We start from the raw sequence: 12,538 nt of genomic DNA on the forward strand, positions 1-12,538 counted from the left end.
AGCTATGGACCGCTTAAGAAAAACATACACAATTAAATGTATGCCAAATTCTTCTTACGACATGCATTTTATAGCATTGTAAATTGATTACCCTTGAATAAACAGCACTTAAAAAAGCAACTGTCAAAATAAGTTTGCTTTCTTATTTAAAAATTAATGGCTATCAATGTTAAAAATACATATTCTCATACAAGTAAACTTTAGTTATTTTCACAAATTTCACAGAGTGATTATATTTAGCTTAAATAAAAATTAAAATTATATCATGATCTTTGTCAAGTTGCTATGCATAGCATCTTTAACATAAAATTTCTTCCCGTGATCTGATTTTTAATGCAAGAATGCCTCTGTACTACGAGTAGAAAAGTTGGGTTTCTTAGTAATATTAGTAAAGTAAGAAAGTATATCATATTTAACTGCCTATGATGGGATTCCATTATTCTGTGGTAAAGATATTACTATCCTCTTTTTACAAGTGACAAAACTGAGGCTGAGACATCTTAATAACTCAAGAGTCCATGCAGTACAGGTTTATGGATTCTGTAAAAAAACAGAACGTATACTTTTCTTTAAAGGTAAAAATAACAACTTTAGTGCCTATTGTATGTCTGGCACTATGCTGGGTGCTTTATTTAATGTATTTTAATACATTATTTCAGGCTCAAGGTAATTAGTATTGTCACTGCCATGTATCTAAGAAAAAATGAGCCTTTTAGAAGTAAAGAGACTTAACCCAAATCACAGCTAGTCAATAGCAGAGCCTCGATCTGGGCTGGGAGATATATTTCTCCTTGATCCTCTTGTGCTCCTATACCTCCTCTAGCTTGTATGCCAAGACTGCAAAGCTCTAATCATTCTTTCATCTGAGCCATTTTCCAGGGTTGTTTATGCAGCTGATAATTTTGAGAGATGAGAACATCTTTCAAAGAGAAGGCTTGCTTACAGCTTGCTATAAAAGTAGTGGATTCCCAAAGTCAGTGGTAGAGAGTTAAATGTACATGGAGTATCATATCAGGGAAACAAACTCTAGTTTTCCTTTATAAGAATTAATAGACAATTTCAAATATTTTAAAAATCAAGCATGATATTACAGCAACTTAAGTATATGAATGTGAGTGGTAGACAAATAGCTAAACAAAGGCTACCTCTCTGACAAGCCAGAACTGGGTGTAAGGATGGGCAGGGCAAAAGTACAACTGTTTTTTATATGTTTTATAGAACTGTGTGAACTTTGTGTGTGTGTGTGTGTGTGTGTGTGTGTGTGTGTTTTTGAGATGGAGTCTTGCTCTGTCATCAGGGCTGGAGTGCGGTGGTGTGATCTTGGCACACTGGAACCTCCACCTCCCTGGTTCAAGAGATTCTCCTGCCTCAGCCTCCCGAGTAGCTGAGATTACAGGCATGCGCCACCACGCCTAGCTAATTTTTGTATTTTTAGTAGAGACGGGGTTTCACCGTGTTGGCTAGGATGGTCTCCATCTCCTGACCTCATGATCTTCCCACCTCAGCTTCCCAAAGTGAAAACTGTGTGAACTTTTAAGTGACATTCATGAATTATATAAAGATTTGTGGTTAAATTAATATTCAGTGTTTACATGTTATAAATATGTAATTCTTGCTCCTGATTAAGCTTGGTAGTTTGTTATAGCACTTGTATAACTTTTTGTTATATATAACATATATATACACACATATATATAACATATATAACATATATAAACAAGTAATAATTATGTTACAAATTTCATAAAATTTTAAATATATTTAAGAATGAGGCACTAAAAACTATCTGGAGCTCAGTTAGTAGCAGATGGCTCATTGAGTAATGGTCTTGACTGTAGGATAGTAATATGGCTGCTCAGAGGTTCTCCAAATGCCAGAATGTGTAGATCTTTTCTCTTAGGCAAATTAGTTTTCCAGATACATATATATCTATATATCTAAGACAGATATAAATGCCATATAACTAAGAGGAAAAAAATATGTGTGTATATATATGTGTGTGTGTGTGTATATATACATATAGATGTATATGAAAAAATATGTGTGTGTATATATATGTGTGTGTATATGTGTGTATACATATGTGTGTGTATATGTGTGTGTATATATATATGTGTGTGTATGTGTGTATGTGTATATATGTGTATATATATAACAAATAGGGAAACTAACTTGCCTAAGAGAAAAGATCTACAGATTCTGGCATTTGGAGAAACTCTGGACAGCCATATTGCCTATACCTGTATCTATAAGGTATAATCTATCTGTATATCTATCTATATCTATATCTATATCTGTATCTATATGTATCATCTGTATTCTTGTCTACTGCTCAGTGGAAGAAGTTTAAGTCTGCCTTTCAGCATTTTAGGGCCAGCAAGGGGTCCTGTCATTCTTATTTTGTTGGTATGATGCCTCATGACAGGTAGCAGTTGTGCCTGAAACCCCTATGCCTAAAGCTTTTGAAAGAGCCTCTCCAGCATTTTCTGTCCTCTTGCTTCCTGCTTAGTTCAAAAGGTAAAAAGGGCAGTCCCTAACCTGAGTGCATGGGAAGGAAATCAGGAATAGAGGGTCCACTTGTCCTACAAAGCTTAAATAAATTATACTCCTCTTAGATCTCTTCTGGCCTCTACTTTCTGAAGTCCCAGGTGCTTTACATTTCTAAAAATTTGAAAATATTAATTATTCTCTTCCTTTTGAATTCCCCTATGTTGACGTAGGTTTCCACTATCTCTGTCTAAGTCAGTTTTCAGAAGTGCATTCATTTTTAAGTTTCCTAAACATGTTATCACTCATCTGTTGCTGTTTTTTCCCCATTACTTTCATCCTCCTGTGTGTTAACGACATTTTTATTCTTTATTCCGTTTATTTCCTTTTTTTAATGGGGTTTCAGAGGAAATACAGATAAATATGTAAGTTCAATTAGTCGTCTTTGCAAGGACCTTCTTCTTCTTTCTTTAAAAAAGCAGGAAAGCCAGATCTCTCATGAAACATAACAGATGCTCCATTTGTAAATTCAACAAGATTTTTTCTTTTTCTAGCACAATTTTTGTTAACAAAGAAACTGAAGATATGAAGCATTTGAAGATTTCAAAGTCCTGTGAGATTTTCAAAAACAACTCAGAAAAAATTAAGTTTTGGATTGTGCAAGCCAGGATATAGCAAACAAAATCTAGGAGCCGAGAGACCATCTGTTTCATTTGAATTCATACTGAAAGACAAAAGATGCATTTCTAAATTATTTCATACCTTTCTTCAAAATATTAGAAGAAATGTGAGCAATTCATAATGGATGATGTCATTTATAAGAGACAAAATTCCAGTTTTATTCCAATACTTTATGACAGAAAATACTTGAGCATTTCCAGGGGACATAGTAGCAAGATCTCATTAATTGTATTTAAATTATTTAAGTGTTCAATATAATAAATTTAGTATTCTTTAATATAATGCATTTGAATGGGCACAGTTAAGGGTTTTAGTACAACTGTCATCTTGAAATCTTCTTAATAACAAGATCTATCCTATTTGACAAATTTTTAGGATGGACGGAATTAAGCGCTTTTGTCTTTGATGACATATTGTTAGTAAGAAGCCTCTCAAACAAAAAGTAGTCTAGGTTTTATATTCTATTTTGTTCAATGATCAGGGAAATACTAAAAGCTCAGTAGTGTGTTCTTTGTGTTGACTTTCTCCAACTCCAATAAGACTTAAAATAAACAAATACATGTTGATAATCATGTAAGATATGTTACATACAAACACACACAACTACAATAAATAATCTAGATATTCTATCTTTGCAAAATGACTATTCCATGCTACCTGGTGATATATTTTTGCAACCTATGCAACCCCAAATCTGTCTGAAGTGAAACAGTACTTCAAAATATAATTAAAAATAAAATGACACCTTTTACAAAAATAATTTTTAACTTAGCAGGAAAGAATGAAATTTATTTTATTTATACCCTGTCATGGGTCCCCTGATAATATTCTTGAGCCCACAGCACAGAGGAGTGAAGAATCATGACCTCATGTTAAGAGACTTTATAACTTAAAATATATGTGTTTAATTCATAAGTGATACATAACTTGTTATGAAAAATTCAAACAATATAAAATTACATATAGCAAAATGTACAGTTCCCCTTTATTCCTGCCCAAATTCCACTATTCCTATTCATTTCTAAATTGTTTGGGGTTCGTCTAAACTTCTTCTATAGACATATATATGTATATTTTTACATACATAGCTATGCATATATATATTTGTGTGTGTGTGTGTATATATATATGTATATATATATATATGCCTTAAAAATATACAAAACATTTTTCTTGAACTGAAATATATCATGTAGGCTTACACTCAGGTCTATCTCATGCAAGTTATTTCATAATATGGGGTTATTACTGTGTTCAGTCATGTTCTTATTAGTGAACATATATAGGCCCTTTTTTGTTGCTATTTCAGTGTTTCAGTGGGTCTCTTTGTAAAAGATATCTTATGTACACATACATATGTAATTTAGATTCCTAGAAATAGAAATGCTGAATTGAAGGATAAATGAGTTTCATATTTTTATATATCTTGACAAATCCTCTTCCCAGTTAACATCAAGTCATGTGACCACAGAAGGGCTATTAGACAGCTCGAAATCTTACCGGTCTCATTAACTTCTGTCAATGCATTTATAAAAAAAGTTATCTCATTTGTTTCTTTCATTTTCCCCTTACATCTGTCTTATAATTTTTGCTTGAACTGTCAAATATAATTTAGGAAACTCAAAATGAGAAGGAAAGTCTATTGTATTCACTCATATTTTTGCTTCCTGTGTCCTTTTTTCCTTCTTGATATTCGTATGCTTCTTCTTTTATCATTTTCTTTTTTTTAGAAAGCTTCTTTGACCATACTTTCCAGGCAGATTTACTTGTGATTAATTCTCTATTTTCCTTTATCCAAGAATGTTTTGATTTCCCCTTTATTCCCGAAGGATATATTCCCTGGGTACAAGATTCTCAGATGAGAGTTCCTTCCTTTCAGCACCTAAAAAAATATTTGTAGCTTCTTTCTGGCTTCAGTGACGTCTAGAAAAATCTACTCTCATTCTCATTGTTTTTCCTGCATAAGATATCACTATTTTCTGGATGCTTTCAGGATTTGTATTTAGTTTTCAGAAGTTTATGCATTATGTGTCTTCATATGGACATCTTTGGATTTATCTTGTTTGGGAACTCAACTTCTTGAATCTGCAGGCTCACGCCATTTGCAAAATGTATTAACATTTCAGCCATTGTTTTCTCTAGTTTTTTTTAGCTTCATACCCTTTCCCCCTCTATCTGACACTCTGATGACATGAATGTTAGATCATTTGTTGTAATCTCACAGATCCCTGAGGCTGTTTCCCAGGCCCCACGGCCAATCTATTCATCTCTGTTGCTCAGATTGGGTAATTTTTGTTATTCTGTTTTATGGTTCACTGATTCTCTTTTCCATCTTCTCCATTTTTTTTGGTCCACCCATACACTGAGCTTTCATTTTGATTATTGTATTTTTAGGTCTAAAATTTTGATTTGGTTTCACTTTGTAGCTTCTATTTCTTTGCTGAGGCTATTTTTCTCATTTGTTTCAAGCATATTTGTAATTGCTCACTGAAGCAAATTTATCATGGCTACTTTAAAGTCTTTGCCAGATATCTAACATTTTTGTCTTTTCTTTTGAGACAGGGACTTGCTTTTTTACCCAGGCTGGAGTGCAGTGGTGCGATCTGGGCTCACTGCAACCGCTGCCTCTTAGGCTCAAGAGATCCTCCCACCTTAGTCTTCCTAGTCACTGGGAACACAGGTGAACGCCACCTTGCCCAGCTAATTTTTGTGTTTTTTTGTAGAGACAGGGTTTTATCACGTTGCCTGGGCTGGTCTCAAACTCCTGGGCTCAAGCAATTTGCCTGCCTCAGCCTCCCAAAGTGCTGAGATTACAGGGTGTGAGCCACCACTCCTGGCCTCATCTTTGTCATTTGGATGTTGCTATCAGTTGATTGTCTTTTTCCAGAATTATTGAACATTTATGGTTCTTTGTATGATTTCTGGTTCTTTGTATGATGAATGTTTCTTGGTTGAAGCCTAGACATATAAATACTATTTTATTAGACTCTGGCTCTTATTTAAACTTTTTTGGTTTTCTCTGACATTGCTCTGCTTAGGCAAGGGAAGGTGTTATCTTGTGTCTGTTTCCTAACCACTCTCTATACAGGCCTGTGAGGGGAGAGGCTCCGCCTTATTGCTGGATGTCCCAGGTGTAAGCATGATGTCCACTGACACTATGGTGAGAGTGGCCTCAGAACTGCTAGGTGATGTTGAAAATATTGACTGTCCACTAAGTCTTCTCTAAAACCACCTCAGCAGAGAGGGAAGGTATGCCTTGTTTCTGCAGGGAAAGGGAGGAATTCCTGGCTTTCTATGTGGTCTTCCTGGCTCTGTGAGGTATGAAGCTCACTATAGGATGGTGGGGCATGAAAATCCAGTTCATTATTTGTCCTTTCCTGACACTATCTTGAGTTAGGTGTGATGGTACCTCAATACCACCTGGTAAGACTGGAAGTCTGGGCTCCCCATTTGGGCTTTGCTGTCTTAAGGGGGATTGCATTTCTTCCTGTGGTGTTGGGCTGGAGTAGAGCAGTTGTCTAAAGCTTTTCTGTCTTGCTAGGCTTCCCCTTTCCTAACCTCTAGGGAATATTAGATTTGCTAGAGAAATTAGGCTTTTGTTGGGACTTTGATTTTTGTCTGTACCTGCTGATGTTGCCATGTTGCCAGTTTCTTCATCTTCAAGTCTAGGATGTACGAAGCAAAAGGAAAATTCTGGGAATTCACCTCCACGTTGTTCCTCAGGTTCCAAGGTACACAGCCAGCCTGTGCTTATATCCACCACTGGGCATCTCCCTAAGTTTGTTATACATACTGTGTCCAGGTTTTTTAGTTGTACTTAGCAGGTAGAATAGAAAAAAGTATGTCTGTTCCATCTTCCCCGAAGTGAGATTCTTGCTATCTTTTGATATTTAGTGGTGGGGCGGGGTTGGGGGAGGGGTGGACTTTTGGTAATTTTTTTAAAAGGTGCAAAATTATCTTGCATAGACCTGGAATTCACCATTAATTTACTCATCCATATGGGAGTATAGGGCTTATTAGTGGTGGAACCTGAAATCTTCCTTTGTGCCATATGTAGCAGTTAATCACTTAAGATTATATTAGTACATATTAGTTGTTTCTCAGAATTCTGATGAAAGGGTCAATTCACAATAGAGTGATGTCACCCTGTCACTTTTAGAAATCAATAAATCTATGGAAAAGAAATCTGTTCTCATGAACTAGGTAAATGTGAAAAGCAGACATAATGTATTGGGATGCAGAGATGAAGAGCAGACATGGGATAAAGCATTATTTATAAAACCACTTTGCAGAAAAAAACATTTTCAAAATCACTAAGCTATTAAGATTACATTTTAGAATCCTACTATTTTATCCCTGATATTGGGCATATGAACTCCAAATCAAATACCCCCATTCCTGATGAGAAGGAAAGTTTACAAAAGAGAAGATAAGAGAGAGATAAAACAGAATGAATTAATTTTAAGCCTAAGACCTCAATATTAAGCCTACCTTGATACCTTTTAAAACATGATACTGGTGAAAAAAGTATTTAAATATTTGGCTCTTGCTAGAAGTATAACATATTCTCCCTCTTCTAAGAGACATGACATGAATTCTGTTCTTACGTCCTGTTCTTCACAACTAAACTAAATTAGAAAAACAATTATGGAAAATTTTTAAATAATCACTATTTTAGAAGATTTTTTCAGATGTGACAAAGATCATCAAATATATCATGTAAGTAGCTATTTACTGACTCTACATTTGTTTCATATTTAATGAACTGCCAAAGTTAAGTGAATCCTAGAGTTCAACTGTCAAAAATTTTTATTAGTGTTTATTGTTTGGTATTAATTATTATTCAATATTGGGTTTTTTTTAATGCTATACACTTTTCTGATAAGTCAATAATTAGGAACATAAATGTAAATAAGGTCTTTTCCAGGGATTGTGATTAAGGTTTTGTCATCCATTTTCACATAATACAGTGATTTTTTTTCTTCCCTGCCTTGTTCAAAGTTTATTAACAAATCATCACTTTGCAGCATGTTAGAAAGGATGAAACTTGAACAGTTAGGGCAAAAATGCAAAAGAATGACCAGAGAAGCTCAAGGATATTTTTAAAAAACAACACATATACCTGAAAAATAATCTATGTAGAATGTATCTCAGATGAGAAACCTAAACATTTCTTAACCTGTAAATATTTAAAGAAGACATATATACATAAAAGTATTATCACAATGCATGATTCAGCTGCCTTTCACTTTGCCTTTAAGATTCCTGACAACCTGGCTGATATTAAGAATCACCAGGGACATTTGTTTAAAAAGTGGATTTCCAAGAATTACTTATATAGTTCCTGAATCTGGAACTTGGGTCTGTTATTATTGATCAGACATATTTGGGAAACAGTCTATTAGAGGAACTGAAGTGCAACAATGATAGCACTTGTTCAAAAATGTCAAAACTTTCACCAAACAAACCAACCAACAATACACCATGATATTCTATTTCACTGAAATCGGCAATTTAAGTCCACGACTCACCTTATTGAATAAAGAACATTTCCATTTTTGAAAATTCTTAGCAATTTGTTGTCTGTAGTGACTTCATGAAAGTTGGCACCCTTTTCATTGGCAAAGAACAAATCAGGTTTCCAAATGGAGTCCAACATGGAGGGGTCGAGGTCTAAAGAGTCGTCAGGATATTCACTGTACGCGAGGCGGGGATCATTCCATTTCTGACGAAGAAAGATATTCACTCTGTAATCCTATGATAAAATAATGAAAGAAAGAAAAAAAAAAACCCTGCTTTAAAAAGTTTAAAATCCATAGTGTCAGTGTGGTGCCAAGGCAGGCTCATCAACTGTAGAAAATATACCCCTCTTGGGGACGGGGTGTATAGTTAATGGAGGAGGCTATACAAGTGTTGGGACAGAGGGAGGATGGAAATCTCTGTACCTTCTTCTCAATTTTGCTGTAAACCTAAAACTCCTCTAAAAAATAAAGTCTTATAAAAAAGAGTTTTGGATCTTATATACTGTTCTTTGGGTTTTTCTGAATTATAACAGGAACCAATGGCATCCTCGGGTACTCCCATCCCCCAGGATCCTCACTGATTACCACGTAAAACAGTCATCCTAGTTCTGAGGTTTTGGCCATGTCTTCAGTGACCTATATGCCTCCAAAGAAAAGACCACAATTTATCATGTTTAAAACTTGCTGTTCCATTCAAATTTTACTTTCTTGCTTTGTCAGAATAAAATGTTGGAATGCTGTTAGACACTTAGAGAAAGATATTTTCTTCTTTGCATTTATTTTTAGAATAATTTATTTTAGTAGATATCCAATAACATCCAGAATATATTTAGTGAACTTTTCTTAAAAGCTCTCTGTGTTACAAAAATGACCATATACACTTTTTCACAATGAAAGCCCATTTTCTCATGTTTAATATAGCATGTAAGTTCTATGAAATAAGTAATTTGAGAAAAATAAAAGCTGATTTTATAATAATGAAAGAATAATAAAGGACGATTATTGTCCATAATACTTCAAGAAGATTTGGCTAAAGAGATTTCCCAATTAGATCTTTCATAGTTAATTTTAAAAGGAGTCAATGATTTCAACTAAATTATTGCTCACAATTTTGGACTAACGCGTAGAATGACAAATGTTGACAGCTGAGTATATGTGTAGTGTTTGTATATACACAGTATATGAAAATAAGTACCATATATGTCTTTATAAATATTTTTTTCTAGATTTTTGAAATGAGCCAATAAATTAAATATAGACCTCATTGTAAGCATGATTAAAGCAAACATTATAAGACCACTTCATTTGCATGCAAAATAGCCAAGGCTGAAGATACTCACAAGAACTGAAAACCATTTTTCATCTATTTTTCTATTTCTTGAATACCAAATTATGAGACATCAGAATATAGTAACCAACCAATCACAACGGATGCTTTAATAATATCAGAACAGGTAGATTGCTTATGTTATTGGTAGGTCAAAGTCAGAGTTTGTACTGAATGTTACAAATCTGTACATCCTCTTGATCAATATTTGTGCCCTGAGACTATATTCTAACTGCAACTAAGGTTACACACCAGAAAATATTTTTTCTGCTTGCTAGCTGCCCCATGTATCTTCCAAAGTGACAATGGAGCAGAATTCACTTCAGCTTTTTGCCAGAAAGCTCACGATATTGTGGAAATCTCACTCGCCACAAGGATCTACAGAACCTGTAAATGGGGATATGTGAACAAGCTTCTACCAGCCTAGAATAGGTCATCTTCTCTTAGCCTGTAGTCCAGGGCACCAGGAAGCACAGCTCCATGGTTGGTGGCCAGTTCTTGTTTCCTTCGCCATTCTCCAGTGTGTGCCCTCAATACCACTAAAGGAATCAGTGATTGACCAAATCAGTTTCTCTCTGCTTTATAGCCAGGAGAAGACTGAACAAGGTCAAGTTATAATCATACCTGCCAGGAAAGATAACTGACTAGTAAAGAATGTACATTTGTACTGATTTATAAGATACATAATCAAGTTGTTTGAAGCACTTTTGCTGTAACATTTCTTGATTTAGAACTCTCTGTAGCTGTTCACCACACTTAGGCTAAAATAAAAGTACTCTTTAAGTTGCAGTATATGTAATAAAATTTGGTAGAATCTCTTTATCCTTATGTTATTAGTACTAGTGATAAACTTTACAGATACATTTTCATTTCTTCCGGGAACACTTTTTGCTCCAAATATGTGCTAGAAAAGATGTTTAGTATCTTTCAGCTTCTAAGTAATACAAGGAAAAAGCAACAGTCACCTGTCACCAAGGCCAAATGTTATCATATACCCATTGTAATGCTCTTTCTGAAATATCTCTATCTCTTAATACATTTAGTTTAGGGAAGTAAGAACCACATGAGGCCCCTGGATGACAATAATCCTGTCATTCATGACAGCATGGAAAATATGATTTTGTGGTCTATTGTACTGCATGGTAAGTACAGTTAATAATAATGTATATTTCAAAATCGCTAAAAGAATAAATTTTTGACATTCTCACTCCTAAACTATATTAAGTTAGTGAGATGATGAATATGTTAATTAGCTTGATTAAATCTTTCTATGCTTTGGTTCAGGGCCAGGGTTCAAAGCAAAACAAAAATAACCATGTCCTGAAAACCTTAGAAACTAAGATTTTACTGCTCCTTACAGTTTTGGTTTTGCTTTGCCTGCAAATGAACATTGAGATGGAAAGCTATTAAATAACCAAATTCAGCATTTCAAAAATGTTTTTTTAAGGCTGATTCTTCATAGCCACAGTATCCCATTATACCCAGCAACCAATTATATTAATTATTTTTGAATTTTGGCCATTTGTGAAAATGTGTAAAGAAAGGGGCAAGTAAACGGACAGTCAAAATAGTACCACCCTAAGAGAAGTCCTAATAACTAGACTTGAAATAACTTGCCTGTAATAAAATTCCCTGGAGTGAAGAAGAAAAAGGGCCTTGTACAACACATTTTGTATATGGCAAAAGGTTAAATTACATCTCTACATGACGCTACTCAAGAAGGCAACTTGGAGTGAATTAAAAGTTCAAATATGATGGGTAAAATTTTTTAAAAGAAAATTTAGCAGAGTATGTGGCCTTGAGGTAGGACAAATTATTTAAAAAGCACAATAATATTGATCATAAAATAAAGGTTAATAAATTCTACGATGTCAGAATTAAGAAATTCTGTTCATCCAAAGGTCACTTAAGGTTAATGAAAACATAAATTATACTGCAAGAAGGTATTTGCCACATATACAACTGACAGTTGATTATTAACATGCTTTAAAATATTTCATACCAATAATTGAGAAAAAGAGAAACAACTGAGTAGAAAAATGGCCAAAACAATCACAACATTTTACTAGGCAGGCATTGCAAATACCCAAGAAGTATCTGAAAAAATGTTCAACCACATAAGTAAACAAAGAAGTGCAAATTAAGATACTAATGAGATACCATTTTATATTTACTGGGCTGTTAAAAATGAGACTTTTGATGATATCAGAATTTGTCAAAAATACAGGGCAAAATGATCCTTTATACATCGCCGCGAAAAGTATAAAAAGATGGAAAAAATTGGCCAGGTGCAGTGGCTTATGCCTTTAATCCCAGCACTTCGGGAGGCCGAGGTGGGCGGATCACGAGGTCAAGAGACAGAGACCATCCTGGCCAACATGGTGAAACCCCATCTCTACTAAAAACACAAAAATTAGCTGGGTGTGGTGGCGTGCGCCTGTAGTCCCAGCTACTTGGGAGGCTGAAGCAGGAGAGACGCTTGAACCCAGGAGGCGGAGCTTGCAGTGAGCCGAGATCACGC

The 12,538-nt window shown here is 34.7% G+C and overlaps 1 protein-coding gene across 8 annotated transcripts in view; it reads right to left on the reverse strand.

Annotated features, from left to right (window-relative positions):
• Nucleotides 1-12,538, reverse strand: part of GLRA3 (glycine receptor alpha 3) — a 192,328-nt gene that overhangs the window by 82,856 nt on the left and 96,934 nt on the right. For 6 of the 8 annotated variants that reach the window (XR_001741329.2, NM_001042543.3, NM_006529.4 and 3 more), the window contains one exon: nucleotides 8,700-8,923. Coding sequence is in view for 7 of the 8 variants with exons in the window: in NM_001042543.3 (NP_001036008.1) it covers nucleotides 8,700-8,923 (224 nt within the window). In the remaining variant the exon portion in view is untranslated. The remainder of the gene's footprint in view (nucleotides 1-8,699; nucleotides 8,924-12,538) is intronic. The other 2 variants (XM_047416196.1, XM_047416195.1) reach the window with 1 other exon arrangement.

This window comes from Homo sapiens, chromosome 4 (genome assembly GCF_000001405.40).
Source record: "Homo sapiens chromosome 4, GRCh38.p14 Primary Assembly".
NCBI lineage: Eukaryota > Metazoa > Chordata > Mammalia > Primates > Hominidae > Homo > Homo sapiens.